Source organism: Homo sapiens, chromosome 1 (genome assembly GCF_000001405.40).
Source record: "Homo sapiens chromosome 1, GRCh38.p14 Primary Assembly".
Lineage (NCBI taxonomy): Eukaryota > Metazoa > Chordata > Mammalia > Primates > Hominidae > Homo > Homo sapiens.
The window spans coordinates 79,259,098-79,277,223 of record NC_000001.11 but is presented as its reverse complement, the minus strand read 5'-3'; the positions used below and the strand labels follow the sequence as shown (position 1 = coordinate 79,277,223).

At 39.3% G+C, this 18,126-nt stretch overlaps 1 long non-coding RNA gene across 1 annotated transcript in view, besides 2 other annotated features; it reads right to left on the bottom strand.

Annotated features, from left to right (window-relative positions):
• LOC105378810 (uncharacterized) overlaps positions 1–9,396 on the bottom strand; it is a 136,420-nt gene extending 127,024 nt beyond the window's left edge. The window contains exon 1 of the long non-coding RNA XR_001738113.2: positions 6,538–9,396. This is a non-coding gene — a long non-coding RNA (uncharacterized LOC105378810). The remainder of the gene's footprint in view (positions 1–6,537) is intronic.
• Positions 7,061–7,567: an enhancer, noted in NCBI's record as "H3K27ac-H3K4me1 hESC enhancer chr1:79735342-79735848 (GRCh37/hg19 assembly coordinates)". NCBI's record gives its function as "activates a minimal SCP1, AML or CMV promoter by ChIP-STARR-seq in naive H9 embryonic stem cells {active_cell/tissue: H9 hESC(naive)}" and the evidence as "EXISTENCE:reporter gene assay evidence [ECO:0000049][PMID:30033119]".
• Positions 10,962–11,196: a silencer, noted in NCBI's record as "fragment chr1:79731713-79731947 (GRCh37/hg19 assembly coordinates)". NCBI's record gives its function as "represses an EF-1alpha promoter that drives an FKBP-Casp9 reporter gene in an ReSE screen in K562 erythroleukemia cells {active_cell/tissue: K562}" and the evidence as "EXISTENCE:reporter gene assay evidence [ECO:0000049][PMID:32094911]".

Below are 18,126 nucleotides of genomic sequence, written 5' to 3'. Positions count from 1 at the left end.
ATTTCTTTTAAGGCCTTTTATCTATCATATCGGTATCTTATTGCTACAGAGAGTCTGCTTTGTCAGTCTTAAGGTCTGTTTTAATGTTAAATGCTGGCCTTCTGTGCCTGAAATCCAAAAGAAGTAGAGTATAATGTGGTATGTCTGACCCTCATTAACCTCATCTAGTTAGCCCGAACTAGTTTTTCGTGTTATCTTAGGAATGCCCTTGGCCAAGAGGAGGGGTCCATTCAATTGGTTGGGGGGCTTAGAATTTTATTTTCAGTTTACACTCAGTTCTGGTAGCTAAATGTGGTTCCTTCAATTGACTGTAAGGGAGAATATGTCCCATGTCCCTCTATTTTCTGGTAGTTTTCAGGCAGTCTTTGGTGTTCTTTGGCTTCCAGATATATCACTGTAATCTCTGCTTTCGTGTTCACCTGACATTCTCCCAATGCTCATTCATGTCTGTGTCCAAATTTCTCCTTTTATAAGGACACCTGTCATATTGGACTAGGGGATTATCCTACTCCAGTATGACCTCATTTTAACAAATTATATCTACCAAGTCCTTATTTCCAATAAAGTCCCATTTTGAGGCACTAAAGGTTAGGGCTTCAACATGTACGCTTTTGGAAAACACAATTCAACCCATAACACTATCCATATATTCATATCGCTATATAAGTTTGCATCTACATCTATATCTTTCTATGTATCTATCTAGTTCACATCTCTCTGTCTAAAGTGTATATATGATTTTCTTTTTTTAAGGGAACTATTTTTTATGTGTTATTGTTGTTTTTTTCAATGTTTAGTTTAAGTTTGGGGGCACATGTGAAGCCTTGTTACATAAACACTTCGTTTGTTGTACATATTATTATATCACACAGGCATTAAGCTCAGTACCCGATAGTTACTTTTCTGCTCCTCTCCCTACTCCACCCTCCCCCATCAAGTAGAACCTAGTGTCTGTTGTTTTCTTCTTTGTGTCCATCATCATTTCGCTCCCACTTATAAGTGAGACCATGTGGTATATGATTTTTTGTTCCTGTGTTAGTGTGCTAAGGATGATAGCCTCCAACACCATTCATGCTCCCACAAAAGACATGATCTTATTCTTTCTTATGGCTGCATAATATTCCATGATGTATATATACCACATTTTCTGTATCCAGTCTGTCATGGATGGCCACTTAGGTTGATTCGTGTCTTTGCTATTGTGAACAGTAGCTTTACGTGGAATGCTTTATATTCCTCTGGGTATATACCCAGTAGTGGATTGCTATGTAGAATGGTAGTTCTGCTTTTAGGTCTTTAAGGAATTGCCAAACTGCTTTCCACAATGATTGAACTAATTTACACACCCATCAACAGTGTATCGGGGTTCCTTTTTTTAATTTTTTTTAAAATTTTTTATGATAGCCATTCTGACTAGTGTGAAATGCTATCTCATTGTGGCTTTAATTTGCATTTCTTGATCAGTGATATTGAGCTTTTTTTCATATGATTGTTGCCTGCATATATGTCTCCTTTTGAGAAGTGTCTGTTCATGTCCTTTGCCCATTTTTAAATTTCTTTTTTCTTGTTAAATTTGTTTAACTCTCTATAGATACTGGATATTAGACCTTTGTCAGATGTATAGTTTGGTAGTTTGCAAAATTTTTCTCCCATTCTTTAGGTTGTCTGTTTACTCTGTTGATATTTTCTTTTACTGTGCAGAAGCTCTTAAGTTTAATTAGATCCCATTTGTCAATTTTGCTGTTGGTGCAATTGCTTTTGGTGTCATTGTCATGAAATCTTTGCCTGTTCCTATGTCCAGGATGGTATTGCCTAGGCTGCCTTCCAGTGTTTTTATAGTTTTGAGTTTTACATTAAAGTCTTTAATCCATTTTGAGTTAATTTTGGTATATGGTCTAAGGAAAGGGTCCAACTTCAGTCTTCTGCATATGGCAAGCTAGTTATCCAAGCACCATTTATTGAATAGGAAGTCCTTTCCCCATTGCTTGTTTTTGTCAGCTATGTCAAAGATCTGGTAGTTGTAGGTGTGTGGCCTTATTTCTCAGCTCTCTATTCTGTTCCATTGGCCTATGTGCCTGTTTTTGTACCAGTATCATGCCATTTTGGTCACTGTAGCTTTGTAGTATAGTTTGACATTGGGTAATGTGATTCTTCCAGCTTTGTTCCTTTTGCTTAATATTGCCTGGGCTATTCTACTCTTTTTTGTTTCCATATAAAATTTAAAATAATTTTTTCTAGTTCTGTAAAGCATGTCATTGGCAGTTTCATAAAAATAACATTGAATCTACAAATGGCCTTTAGCAATGTAGCCATTATAATGATATTGATTTTTCCTATCAATGAGCATGGGGTATTTTTCCATTCAATTGTATCTTCTCTGATTTCTTTGAGCAGTGTTTTGTAATTCTCATTGTAGAGATGTTTCACCTCCTTGATTAGCTGTATTCCTACATATTTTTTTGTTTTTGTGACAATTTTGAATGAGGTCACCTTTCTGATTTGGCTCTCAATTTGGTTATTATTGGTGTATAGGTATGCTAGTGATTTTTGTACACTGATTTTGTATCCTGAAAGTTTGTTGAAGTAGTCTGTCAGCTGAAGAAGTTTTGGGGCCAAGACTTTGGAGTTTTCTTTACACAGAATCATGTCATCTGCAAACAGAGATAGTTTGACTTCCTCTCTTTCTATTTGAATGCCTTTTTTCCTTTCTCTTGCCTGATTACTCTGGCTAGAACTTCCAATACTATATTGAATAAAAGTGGTGAGAGAGGGCATCCTTGTCTTGTGCTGGTTTTCAAGGGGAATGCTTCCAGTTCTTGAACATTTAGTATGATGTTGTCTGTAGGTTTGTCATAGATGGTGCTTATTATTGAGAGTTATGTTCCTTCAATACCTAGTTTATTGAGAATTTTTAACATGAAGGGATGTTGAATTGTATTGTAAGCATTTTCTGCATCTATTGAGATTATCATATAATTTTTGTCTTTAGCTCTATTTATGTGATGAATCACATTTATTGATTTATGTATGTTGAACCAACCTTTCACCCTGGGGATGAAGCCTACTTGATTGTGGTGGATAAGCTTCTTGATGTGCTGCTGGATTCGGTTTGCCAGTACTTTATTGAGGATTTTTGTACTGATGCTCATCAAAGATGCTGGCCTAAAGTTTTCTTTTTTCATTGTGTCTTTGCCAGGTTTTGGCATCATTTGGCATAGAATGAGTTAGGGAGAAGCCTTTCCTTTTCAATTTTTTGAAATAGTTCTAGTAGGAATGGTCCCAGCTCTTCTTTGTACATCTAGTAGAATTCAGCTGTGAATCCATCTGGTCCTGGACATTTTTTCATTGGTAGGCTATTTATTACTGCCTGTGATGGTTAATATTGTCAACTTGATTGGATTGAAGGATGCAAAGTATTGTTCATAGGTGTGTCCGTGATGGTGTTGCCAAAGGAGATTAACATTTGAGTCAGTGGACTGGAAGAAGCAGACCCACCCTTAATGTGTGTGGGCACCACCTAATCAACTGCCAGTGCAGCTAGAATAAAGCAGGGAGAAGATGAAAAGAGAAGACCTGTTAAGTCTTCCAACCTTCATCTTTCTTCCTTCCTGGATGCTTCCTGCCCTTGAACATTGGACTATAAGTTCTTCAGCTTTTGGACCCTTGGACTTAAACCAGTGGTTTGCCAGGTCTGTTAGTCTGATGGGCTTCCCATTGTAGGTGACCAGGCCTTTCTCTGTGGCTGCCCTTAACACTTTTTCTTTCATTTCAACCTCGGATAAGCTGATGATTACACATCTTGGAGATGATCTTCTCATGAGATATATTACTGGGGTTCTCTGCATTTCCCAAATTTGAATGTTGGCCTGTCTAGCAAGGTTGGGGAAGTTCTCATGGGTAATACCCTGAAATGTTTTCCAAATTGTTTCCATTCTCCCCAGCTCTTTCAGGTACACCAATCAGTCATAGATTTGGTCTCTTTACATAACCCCATATTTCTTGGAGGTTTTGTTCATTCTTTTTTATTCTTTTTTCTTTATTCTTGTCTGCCTGTCTTATTTCAGAAAGATAGTCTTCAAGCTCTGAGATCCTTTCCCCTGCTTGATCTATTCTGCTATTAATACTTTTGATTGCATTATGAAATTATTGTATTGTGTTTTTCAGCTCTATCCTGGATATTTTGTTTGTTAGCACCTGCAATGTTTTATCGTGATTTTTAGCTTTCTTGCATTGAGTTAGAATGTGCTCCTTTAGCTCAGTGAAGTTTGTTTTTATCCACTGTATTAGTCCATTTCACACTGCTGATAGAGACATACTCAAGATTGAGCAATTTACAAAAGAAAGAGGTTCAATTGGACTTACAGCTCCACATGGCTGGGGAGGCCTCACAATCATGGCGGAAGGTGAAAGGCATGTCTCACGTGGTGGCAGACAAGGGAAGCGAGCTTGTGCAGGGGAAACTCCCCTTTATAAAACCATCAGATCTCATGAGATTTATTCTTATGAGAACAGCGTGGGAAAGACCTGGCCTCATGATTCAATTACCTCCCACTAGGTCCCTGCCACAACACATGGGAATTCAAGATGAGATTTGAGTGGGGAAACAGACAAACCATATCATCCACATTCTGAAGTCACTTCTGTTGTTTAAGCCATGTCAGCCTCAGCCCCATTCTGAACCCTTGCAGGAGAGGTGATGTGGTCATTTGGAAGAGAGAGGGTACTCTGGCTTTTTGACTTGTCAGAGTTCTTGCATGGATTCTTCCTCATCTTTATGGGCTTATCTACCTTCATTTTGAGGTTGCTGGCCTTTGGATGAGTTTTTTTTGTTGTTGTGGTTTTGGTTTTTCTTTAACAGTTGGGCCACTTTTCCATAAGGTTGCTGAAGTTTGCTGGGCGTCTGCTCCAGTCCCTAGTCACCACAGATTTTCCAGTACCTGGCGTATCACCAGTGAAGGCTGCAAAACAGCAGAGATGGTAGCCAGCCCCTCCCTCTGGGAACTCTGTCCCAGGAGTGTACACACCTGTTGCCAGCAGGGATGTACCTGTAGGAGATGGCTGGAGACCCTGGTTGGAAGGTCTCACCCAGCAGCCAGGAGGAACAGGATCAGGGAACCGCTTAAAGAAGCAGCCTAGCCCCACTTTAGTAGAGCAGCCATGTTTTGCTGGGGCACCATTTCTGCCCCTCCCTCCCATCATACCCTTCTCCCCCTTCAGTTAGGCTCACCAAAGCCCACAGGCTGGAATGGCTAAGTTGCTGACACAGCAAAGATGGTAGCCCACCCCTCCCTTTAGGAATGCTATACTAGGAAGTTTTGAAACCTCTGTCAGCCAGAGAATGTGGGTGGGAGTGGCTGGAGGGCCCAGTTGGGAAGTCCTGCTCAGTGAGGATGAACAGATCAGGGACCCACTAAGGAAGCAGTCTGGTCACACTTTCATAGAGTAGCTGTGCCATGCTGTGGTACCACTTCCACCTGCGGGCAGTTTGGACTCTCCTAAGCCCAAAGGCTGGAATGGCTGAGTTGCCCAAACAGCAAAGATGGTGGCCCGTCCCTACCCCTGGGCACTCCATCCCACGGATAAATCAAAACTGTCTGCCTGAAAATATGGGCAGGGGTGGCTGGAAGCCACAGTTGTGAGGTCCTACTCAGAGATAAGCAGTGGATCAGGGACCTGCTTAAAGAAGCAGTCTGGCTGCATTTTGGTAGAGCAGATGTGCTGTGCTGGGGGTTGGGGGAGTCCCTTTTGCCCCCAGATGGTTTGAACTTTCCTAAGTCTGCAGGCTGGAACAGCTGAGTTGTCCAAACACAAAGAAGTTGGCCCTCCTCTCCCCTTGGGCACTCCATCCCAGGGAGAAATAAAAACTTTGTCTGCTGGAGAATATGGGTGGGGCTGGCTGGAGGCCCTTGTTGGGAGGCTCTGCCCTGAGATGAGGAATGGATGGGGATCCTGCTTAAAGAAGCAGTCTGGTCACATTTAGGTAGAGCACCTCTGCTGTGCTGGGGGAGGGTCCCTTCCATCCTCAGTCAGTTTGGTTTGGACTTTCCTAAACCTGCAAGCTGGAAAGGCTGAGTTATCCAAACTGCAAAGATGGTGGCCTCCCGCCCCTACACTCCCAACCCGGGAACTCTGTCACATCCCAGGTAGGTGCAAAACTGTTGTGGGTGGGGCGGGGGTGTTTGGAGGGTAGGTTCCTGGCTGGAATTCCAAGCCAGTGGATCTTATCCTATGAGGCACTGTGGAAATGGAGCCCACAGACCTACACTGCTTGGCCTCCTGAATTCAGTTCCCTTCCTGAATCCAACTTCCCTCCTTGCCTGAGAGGCAGGCACCTTTGCCAAGGGTCCCAGGGTCAGAGTATGTAAAGCTCCTGCATCTCTGTGTGTGCCTCAGCAGCTGCTCTGCAGAGACTCCACATAGCTCTGTCTGTCAGACCAAAGGCCCTGGTGCAGTGGGTTTGGGAGTGTATCTCCTGACTTGAGGCTTGCAAAGATCTATGAGAGAAGCACGGTTTTCCGGGTTGGCACATTCACTCACCACTTCCCTGGGAGGGGGAGGTTCCCTTGGCTCCGTGTCACTCTCGTGCAGGCCATCACCCTGCCCTGCTTTTCTTCGTTCTCTGTGGGTCCAGCTGTTTCCCTGGTCAGTCCCAATGTGAATACCTGGATATTTCAGTTGAAGGTGCTGTATTTACTCTTCCCTTTCCTTCCTCTCCCTGAGAGCTACACACTGTAGCTGCTTCTAGTCAGCCATTTTGGCCCTGAGAATGTGTCCGGAACTTGGTCTCACTGACTTCAAGAATGAAGCTGCGGACCCTCGCAGTGAGTGTTACAGCTCTTAAGGTGGCACGTCTGGAGTTTGCTCCTTCTGACGTTCAGATGTGTTCAGAGTTTCTTCCTTCTGGTGGGTTCGTGGTCTCGCTGGCTCAGGAGTGAAGCTGCAGACCTTCCCGGTGAGTGTTACAGCTCTTAAGGCGGCGCGTCTGGAGTTGTTCGTTCCTCCCGGTGGGCTCGTGGTCTGGCTGGCTTCAGGAGTGAAGCTGCAGACCTTCGCGGTGAGCGTTACAGCTCTTAAGGCGGCAAGTCTGGAATTGTTCGTTCCTCCCGGTGGGCTCGTGGTCTGGCTGGCTTCAGGAGTGAAGCTGCAGACCTTCGCAGTGAGTGTTACAGCTCATAAAGGCAGTGTGGACCCAAAGGGTGAGCAGTAGCAAGATTTATTGCAAAGAGCGAAAGAACAAAGCTTCCACAGTGCGGAAGGGGATCCAAACGGGTTGCCACTGCTGGCTGGGGCAGCCTGCTTTTATTCTCTTTTCTGGACCCACCCACATCCTGCTGATTGGTAGGGCCGAGTGTTCTGTTTTGACAGGGCGCTGATTGGTGTGTTTACAATCCCCGAGCTAGGCACAAAGGTTCTCCAGTCCCCACCAGATTAGCTAGATACAGAGTGTCCCACACAAAGGTACTCCAAGGCCCCACCAGAGTAGCTAGATACAGTGTGGATTGGTGCTTTCACAAACCCTGAGCTAGACACAGGGTGCTGATTGGTGTGTTTACAAACCTTGAGCTAGATACAGAGTGCCGACTGCTGTATTTACAATCCCTGAGCTAGGCATAAAGGTTCTCCACATCCCCACCAGATTCAGGAGCCCAGCTGGCTTCACCCAGTGGATCCTGCACCGGGGCTGCAGGTGGAGCTGCCTGCCAGTCCTGGTGCCGTGCGCCCGCAAGAACTATATATGATCTTCTAAGAAACAAAACGATTTTATAATTTTATTTTTCTTTCTGCATTCTATATTTTATTTTGTTAATTTTCTTCATTGTTTACTCCCAAATGAGGAAAGCCTCTTAAAAAAAAAGCCATTTTGAGTAATAGACAAGGAATGTATCAGTTATAGCATCCAGTCACAGAATTAAAAACACCACTTATTTTAATAAAGATAATTCAGTGTAAATAATTGTTAAGTATTGAAAAATAAAAATGCAAAAAGGAAAACTAATGTGTCCTCGAAGTGGCAATTTCCAGAAGTAGGTATTATTTCTAGAGCTGGGAAGACAAACAAAAGAGTTGGAATTAAAGAATAAAATCTAGGAGAAAGGGCCCCACAGTACTGGAACATGGACCTCTAATTGGACAGTGCTCAGCCACCACTGATGTCTCTGCTTGGAGTTGGGGGTCCAGGGAACTAGGATCCAGGCCTCTCATGGACACTGTCAGCTGTTGCTGGTGCCTCCGAAGGGTGGCAGAACAGATTCTGTCTCTGAGTGTTGGAAAAAATTGCAAGCTGAAATCAACTGCTGTTACTGAGGTGAAAAAAAATTATGGCTGACACAACGGTAACAAGAACAGGAAGTACAAACAGGCTAAGGTAACGAGCAGAAAGGAATGTGTTCTTCCTCAAGCCTTACTGTCTTTTTCCAGCACCTCTTATTGACAGGGTCTAACAGAAAGCCTGCTGGCAAAGCAGAAATATGTTTTGCAGAATTTCAAAATCACAAAGCAGAATATGGAAGGGTACATTTGAAGCTGAGAGACAAGAGCCTCATAACTGGCACGATACAGGAAATATGAAAGACTACATAGCTTTTGATCAACATTTCTTTGAGAAGTTTCCATACCCTGATATTCCCTCATACATGCTTTTTACTGATGTTGTAAACTTTCAGGTTGATTCCTCACTACTTTAATCCCACTTTGACCAGCCACAGGCTAACCCCTTTTGTCAGGGCTTAGTTACACCTCACTCAGTGACTTCCCTAAAGAGCCTTTTCCTTCAACAGCTAATTAGAGCACTAGGTCAGAACAACAAACAAACCATCAAGGAAATAAGCAATGCCAAGCTCCAAAGAACGAAAGATATTCCCAACTCCTACTCCTACCCCTTAGGAAATTTGAGGGTATAACTCCCAAAGACCAGAATTAAATTGTCTGCAAACATCTGAAAAATGGTGGGTAAATCAACACAAATTACTTGACTCAATAAACTTCTCTTAAGTTTACATTTCTCCACTACCTGCATATTAAGTGTTAGCAGATATTTTAATTGTTCATTCTTGGATATATGTGGGGTGACCTTGTGAGATTTGCACTGGTTGAATATCTCCTATTAGACTCATTGTTATTTGGATGATCTAACTGTTGATATGACCAAGATCATGTCTTATTTCCTTCCAGGTAATATCCATTTAGAATCCTATAATGTTCAGTTATAACTTGATAGTTATAATGATAAATTTCATTACCCTTTAATGACAATTATGTGTAACCTAAATACTAGAGTTTGCAACAATTCTGCCAAATTCTTACTGATAGAAAACTTGCGGTTGAAAGATTACTTCGGAATAGATTATTCTGTAGGCCTAGAGGGTTCATCAAAGAAAAAGAAAAAAAAACAACTAGCCAAATCCATATATAATTACAAACTCATTTTATTAAATGGCAGTCAATTACCAAGTGGAACTTTAGGGAATAAAGAGTGGGCATTTCCATAGTTCTCTTATTAAGGACGCAGCTTTATTTGATGACTAGGAATCACCACCTGTTTTCCTATTTCCATCTTAGGCAGGATAAAAAGTGATCACTTCCATGTTAAATCCTTTAAGCTCCTCAATATTGATGTCTCCATATGGGCACAAAAATGAATTAAGGGTCTCCAGGGTTTTTGTTTTGTTTTGTTTTGAGACGGACTCTCACTCTGTCACCCAGGCTGGAGTGCAATGGTGTGATCTTGGCTGACTGCAACCTCCACCTCCCAGGTTCAAGCCATTCTCCCGACTAAGACTCCGCAGTAGCTGGGACTACAGGCACGTGCCACCACAACCGGCTAATTTTTGTATTTTTAGTAGAGATGGGGTTGGCCAAGCTGGTCTCAAACTCCTAACCTCGTGATCCGCCCACCTCGGCCTCCCAAAGTGTTGGGATTACAGGAGTGAGCCACCACACTTGGCTGGTTCTCCAGGGTTCTATAAACAAAAATATAATATTAAGAAGGTATTACTACACTCTGTCTAGGAAGTTTTTCTTTATTCTCCACATAGCACCAAAGTAGACAAAGGCGATAGTCTCATACCTGATGGAAGGGAATTGACCAATCTATCTTTAGAGTCAAAAAAGTTTGTCCACAAGTTAAACAACATTTTGAGCATAATAAAATTTCAATTACAATTCAGAGGAAATCACACAAATTTTTTTAAAAATTCAAATTGCCTAATAAAGTCACTTTTGAAAATTATTAGATTTTAGTGGAAACTTTATATTATTAGTGGAAAGTTATATAATATATAAAAATATATGTATAAATTTAAATTTTATAATTATATTTATAATATATGATATGTGTAATATATATATAGGAAGACTATCAAGTAAAACAATATATATTTTGGCATGTCATTCATGACATGATCCTATGGGAAAAATGAGAAAATTATAATTATTTTTAATAACCCACTAAGAAAATCCATTCTTTTTTCTGTCTAATATTTATTCTTATTTTGTAGAACTCAGATTTATTTTCTTTTTGGATACAGAAACTATATCTGTTCTGAAAACATTTGGCTAGTCAGTTTAGGCTGAAAAACCATCATGAAAAGAATGTTAGCTGCCAGTGCTCTAGACTTTGTCTGAAGCAGAAGGTTCCAATCTTTTCCAGATTATTTGGTGTAATTAAGTCCTCATGTCTATTTCCTATGTTCAGGCTGCTATAACAAAATAGTATGGACTGAGTAATTTATAAACAGAAATTTATTGTTCACAGTTCTGAAGTCTAGGAAGTCTAAGAACCCAAGGCATCAGCAGAATGAATGTCTGATCAGGGCTTGCTCTCTGCTTTAAAGATTGGCCGGGCGTGGTGGCTCACGCCTGTAATCCCAGCACTTTGGGAGGCCGAGGTGGGTGGATCACGAGGTCAGGAGATCGAGACCATCCTGGCTAACATGGTGAAACCCCGTCTCTACTAAAAATACAAAAAATTAGCCGGGCGTGGCGGCCGGAACCTGTAATCCCAGCTACTCGAGAGGCTGAAGCAGGAGAATGGCGTGAACCCGGGAGGCGGAGCTTGCAATGAGCCGAGATCGGGCCACTGCACTCCAGCCTGGTCGACAGTGAGACTCCGTCTCAAAAAAAAAAAAAAAAAAAAAAGAGATTGTGCTTTCCTGCCGTGTCCTCACTTGGTGGAAGAAGTGGAAGTCTCCATTAAACCTTTTTTATAAGGGTACTAATTCTATTCATGAGGGCCAAGCCCCCATGATCTAATAATCTTCTAAGGGCCCCATCTTTTAAAATCACACAATGGAGATTAAGTTTTGACATGAATTTTGAAGACACACAAACGTTCAGATCATAGCAGTAGCTTACCCCACCCTCAACATTGGAATCTTGCTTTGTCTTCAAATATCACTAGTTTTTCAGCTATCTCTTCAAAATGCTACCTCAACTGGGCCATTTCTCAGCCTTATAGCTTAGAACCAGTTCATTATAGAAAAACTTTCACACTACTGATCATTCTATACTATTATATCTTGCCAAGTTAACAATAATGCAAGACTCTTCAGAGCCTTCAGTGATCTCTCGGCATTTGACTTCATGCTTGTTAAAGTCATGGACAATTATTGTTGGCTCATGATTGTAGGGCTTGAAATAATAACATCAGTGTCTGCAATGTTGTCATCTTCCTGAGTGTCAGTTTCTTCTGCAACAGACAGGGAGAAAGCAGGAACTGCCTTTTAAGCTAAAATGTTGATCTCAGCATAGACCCTTGAATATTTATGCTTCTTCTTTTCCTGTATTACAGTATTATTGCCACACTAGCAGCAGAGTGAGAAGAGTCTCTGGACTGATCTCATTCTAATTCTAAACAGTTATTTAAAAGGATTATGTTGCACAGCCCCTTTTCTCTTTTAAGTTACATTTAAATAGCTTGATTCTGTTTCTAGATGAGTTGGATACCAGCCCGTATGCCATAGCAAAAAGGCCTCTCCTCTAGTGAATACGTGGTTTTATATCATGAGCTAGGAGCAACCTAAAGAAGCAATAAAACCTTTTAGCTAATTACTGTCAGACAGAACAGCTTAACATCAATTCCACTAAATTTAAAATTGTAGTCTTTGGCAGGAGTCCTCAGGTAGTAAAATGGACAGTACTAAATAATTCCATCCAGCAAGTCAATCCATCCTATTACTTAGGAGTATGTTTCATACCCAACTCATCCTGGTGAGCCAATCAGCTTGTAGCACCGCTCAAAATCAGGAACAATTCTGACCTAACACTGGGTTTCTCTTATGGATAAGACATCTGACGCTCCCAAAATATTTTAGGCCCACATAAATTATCTTATACATGGAACCCTGTGCTCAATGAATTGTTGTCCAAGGTAATGTATTAAAATTTTTTTTAAGGAAAAACACTGGGATTCTAATGCTGAAGTGGGACCCTCCTTTCATTAAGTGTGCACATACAAACTTCTGATGTGCACAGGGAATGTCAATGTTACTGTCTGATATTTTAATTTTTGGGGGAATGGATCTTTCTGTAAACAGTAACACAAAATATCTGTTATTTGGTTATATAACACAGACTTCAGTCTCACATCCTCTAAATAAAGTTACTAGAGGTTGAAATCCCTGAGATTTATTAGTTTGACTTCCTCAAATGATGCCTTTGTTGTGTTTTAATGTTTTGCCTTGATTTTCATTGAAAGTCTAAATAAAGAATAGCCACACACAACCATTACTCACTTTTAGCCAAGCCATTGCTGAGGATGTCGTTTACTATATTGCTCAATGTCACTTTTATGAGAGTCCACATGATAATTCCTGCCATGAGTTTAATGTTAGAAAGAAAAAGTCTCAACAAATGATCATCTGTGCTTTCATTGACAGAATATAGGGATATTATGATTCTTGCTAGAATCTATCATATTTCAAGGCTCAGCTTAAATCCTGACAGCACAGACACCTCATCAACTTATTCTTATCTTGCGAATATTTTCCTTCTTTGAATTTTTATACCATTTATTATCTGCAACTTGTAATAATATGCTTAACTAAGTTTATGAGTTTTCCCACAATAGCCCCTAGTGTAAGCACAGTAAATTAAGCACAGAAAGCTTAATTGATCATATAACTAGTTCTAGTGAAAAGCGATCACTTCTATAGTTTTCTCATTTGTAGCACTCTTCAGGTTTTTATTCTAACTGTTGAATAAAAGAAAACTTTCAGTGACTCCATGCACCTTAGATCAGTAGTTCTTAATCTTTAGTGAGTATAATAATAACTTTTATATGTTAAAAACTTATTCAGAATTCAGAATACCAACTCCATTGTTACCGGTTTAGTAATCGAGATGCTAGTGTAAGGCCTATGAATATGAAAATGATTGTTTAAGAAGCATTTCAGGAGATTCTGATGGAAGAGATTAAAAGTTAAGAAAGCCTGCTCTAGAAAATAAAATTTAAATTCCTTTCCCAGGTATTCAAAGCCTTATGCCATCTCTCTCAAACTTACTTTATAAAACGTATTTTCTACTATCCTCTTTCCATCCAATATACATTAAACAAATATAATTACATACTATTATATGTGCAAGGCCATTTAGCACTAAACCACTTTGACCCTCAAACTCCTACCTCTGCACACACAGGTTCTTACCTTTTAGAGACCAAATCAAAGGCCATTTCTTCCAGAAAGTCTTTGCTTATTACTCCCCACCCTGGTTGACACCAACCAGTTTCTCACTAATGACCCTGACTGTCTTTCTACTTAGTACCAAAGTTATTAATGTATCTGAGTTTTTTTTTTCCTCCCATAGCTCCCTGAATAAAGATTTTAGGTCTAATTCATCTTTAATTCTCTGCCATACTCATCATATTACATATGGAAAGTTGTTGCTTAGTAAATGCTGAGTAATTTAAAAAGCAAGTAGTTTCTGACATTCCTGCGCAACTTCTTTTTACTTCAACACCTTTCCCCCATCTTTGTGCCCGAAACATGTACTCTGTCCCAGATGACTTAGCCTATGAAGTAGCTAAGCATTAACATCCCAGCCCCTTTCCTCGGAAACATGCTTAATGTTGTTACATAAGAAATGACAAGGCACCCCTCAGCAGGAGATATGTTTTCATTTGTCTCCAACAAGGAAGTGTTTCTTTCACCCTGGGGATCAGATCACTTCTTCTCCTCACCTCAGAGTTGGAAAAAGAACACAGACATCACAGAGCAGGCTGGAGAGAGTGCTTCAGGGCCAACTTAGAGACAAAAACCAGTTTCCCATTTAACAAGTCAAGCAGACAGCCAGCATTTTTTTTCGGAGCATTTTGGAAAGAAACAAGGCTTCCTTACTGACTGCATTTAAAGTTAACACTGGGCATTTGCATTGCAAAGACTAAGAACCCAGAACCAAATGGCACACAGGAATGAGGTCAGGAAAAGCAAACAAAACAATCAGCAGAACAATTCAAGAGAAGTCAGGTCAGTTTCTGCTGCATTGATTGGGATTTGTCCCTGGATATTCAGTGAGAAGAAAATAGACGTCAACACCAGAAATTCACAGGCTATATTTAAGCTATTAAATATATTTATGTTTCAATAAGGTATGCATTACAATACATAATTCTCATTAGAAACCTCTATAGAGTTTGTATTAAATTCAGAGTTATAGGACCCAGGGATATAAGAGATGAAATTATGGAAGTATCATAGTTAAGTTTCTGATTGTCCAGAAAGAGCAAAACTAAGTGAGCAGCACCTTTAGAGAATGTTGTCTGAAGACTGCTGAATTAGGTCTAAAAATGCTACACTTTACCCTTGCTTAGCTGATTTTTTTGACCATGGTAGGTGTCCTTAATGAACACCAAACTTGCTAAAGGATAATAAATGTTTAAACTTATCTTACTTTTTCCAATTTTTGTTTTGTTTTGTTACAAAACAAAAGAAGTTGAGTGATAACCTCTCATTTTCCTTGTAAAACTTTTAATTTCTTTCTAGTCCATAAAACAAAATTATAACAGTAAACCCAATAAAAGAGTAAATCATCTCTGATACAACTTCTCTGACTGCTTCTTTCCAACCCTTCTTTCTATCAGTGTAGATACTACTTATATTTGGGATCTATTAGATCTGCAGAGCACAGCCTTTCACATGCTAGCGTTAACCATGTATCAATTCTTTTTTCCACGTGCTAACTCACTGGAAAATTTAATGAAACACTCGCCCTGGCACTGCAACTTGCCTTTTGTCACTTTGAGCTGATAATGCAACATAAATGTTTTTTACCACCTCTGGATTCATGGGCTTTAGCAGCCACTGCTGAGAACTTACTGTGAGTGTAGATAGCTTTAAAAGCCTTGCTGCCTTGGTGTTAACTTTCAATAACTGGAACTGAGGCAAGAGCCTTGCGTATTCCTCCCATGCAGATGCTAAGAATTTTTCTTTATATTCATAGACTCAGAGTCTTGTTGATAAATAACAGTAAGGCTCAAGTAAACCATATCCAAAATAATCTATACTATGACAAAATGAAGGCTGCAGAGTCATTTGAGATACTGAATATGAAAGACCTTCAAATTACTTTATAGCATTCTATAGAAGAGATTTATTAGTAAGTCCTATCTTTATGGTAAATGATGCATAAATGATGGTACAGGTTTATAAGGAGAACATATGAAAACTCACATATAGAGCGTAAACTAGGTGACAGCCAGCTTTTCTAAGGGTGAATGGTTTTCTCACTTGTTTAGAGCATATCAGCCAGTGATGGATGCAAAACTGCAAAATTTTAGAAAACTATTTTTTTCCATTGATAGAAAGAGGCTGTTCTTTAACAAGTAGAACTTCTGGTTTTTATATGCAGAAAGGTATTTCTTTTTTATTTCAAGGGAAAAAGCACTCAGTCAAAGCTCCCTCCTAGAGTTCATGCCCTTACCTATAAAGATGGAAACTTATTTAAATCCAAAGGGAATACTGTCCTCCTCAGTTCCCATACCTTTGTATTATCTTTATATAGAGGAATGACAATTCCAAGCAATTGTATCATCATAAAAAATAATAATATTGTGATCAGAACAAGTATATCAACCAAGCATCCACAGGTCTCGTGGTTTATTCCGTACTCTGCTTTTACTCTGCTTCCAGTGGGGCTTGAATAAAATATTAAGGAAAAATATGTCACTTCTACAGAGGCAGAAAGGTCCTTTTTGATGAAGCCCCCAGTAGATCATCTGTTCATTGGAGGTGATCTCCTCTGCAGCTTGACAAAGAACTGTGACATTACAAAGCATGGTGCGGAGGGGTTTGCAACCAGCATAACATGACCAGAGCTGGCACATGCTGAAAAGTCATTTGCCTCTTGGTCTTTTTTTTTTTTTTTCCCTAAAGTGTCTTTTTCCTTTGGCTTCTCATTACTATTATAATACACAATTTTGTTTTCTGTTTGTAACTCTCTGCTGCAATGATTAAAAGTTTCAGAATAATCAATTATTGTAAGGATGACTATATAAATATAAGCTGGTTTATTTGAAAGTGACGTTAAGTTTCATTTCACATATTTGTCTCACAAAATCCCTCACTTGACCAGTGAAGCAAGATGTTCTAGCCTGGCCTTGACAGAGGTCCACCTTCCTCATTCTGGTCTACCTCACTGGTCTGATCAAGGCCTAATGCAATTTGCATTAAAAAAAATTCAATAATTGTTCTAAATTGCTCTCCATATGGTACAGTGCTAAGGAAAAATTTACAAGTTATTGCCTTCATGACTTGAGAGAGAAATTGTTTTATTTTATTAAATATCAGACAAAATTGAATATATAGTTTTCAATAATAACTCTCAAAGCTGATATTAAGTACCTGAACAGATAAGACCATGATAAGGTCAAGAAAGAGGATATTTAAACATCTGTAGGCTTTTTTTCTCGCTTCTTTTTTCTTTTTAAACTTAAGCTTTTAAATCTTGAAAGTTCATGTCCAGTGCCTTGATCAGAGATGATAAATGAACTACTGAATTGGAAGAAGATGCTGTTATTATTTTAACCAGTAAACTAACTCAGGGTTAATCTGGGTGTTATTTAACCTATTGAAAGTGTTTTGAGTGAACATATGGTTTCTATTGTGAAATGAAGGCACAGTTTTAACTATGAATATAGATAATTACCCTTTCGACTTTAAACATTTATATGTGTCATGTTGTGTCAGAGCATTTTTCATGGTCAATAGGTTGAAAGGTTATAAAGTTGAAAATGAAAATCAGTACTTTTGAGTAAAACTACATAGCCAGCACAAATAAAGCAATTCACTACTGCTCTCTCTTGGAAGGAGTTAGTAATAACACCCAGAAAGCAATCACTACACCAGTAGCACAGATTGTATGTGAAAAACATGATCTCAGTTAAAGACCTAATCTTTAAGTTAGAAATTCAGCCTATAAATGCATATTCATGAATGTTTCAATAATTATTTTGTAAATTGAATTATAGATGATGATTTTTTTCTTTGTGTAATAGAAAGAGAATATTTTTAAGTTATTTTAAAACTTCATATAAAATGTGTCTACTACAACGCTGATTTGAACATTTCATATAAATGTAATTTTTGAACTGACACTGAACATTTACAGCAGGGTACACATTTTGTAAATTGCTCAGAATGACGTCAGTACTTTGAGCCTAAACAAAACAACTCCTTCAAATGGAATTGGACTCTATTGCAAATACTTACTGGCTTTCAGAGTGGATGCCATATAGTTTCAAAGGAGCAGGACCCCCATTCCAACAGAGTAACAGCAAATTTTCAGATTCATAAGAAAAGGATAGGGGTCAGACGGAGAGACAGAGAGAGAGAGAGAAACAAAGAGAAAAAGAGAGAAACATTTTGGCAAATTTCAATTTTTTATCAAGGCCTCTAAAAACATTTAAGAATTATTTTATCAACACTAATGGATTGGCAGAATATAGCTATCAACATAAAACTTAATTTTAAAACAGTGTTTTCATTTCCATTTCACTCTTTAGAGTGATAGCCCCCATTTTGCACCGGGTGGTAATAATACCTCTGTCCTATTATTATTATTATTTCTTATCTTCTTACTACAAATGAGAAAAAAAGTTAAGGCAATTGTTCTTTCTATTCTTTTACTCTCAAA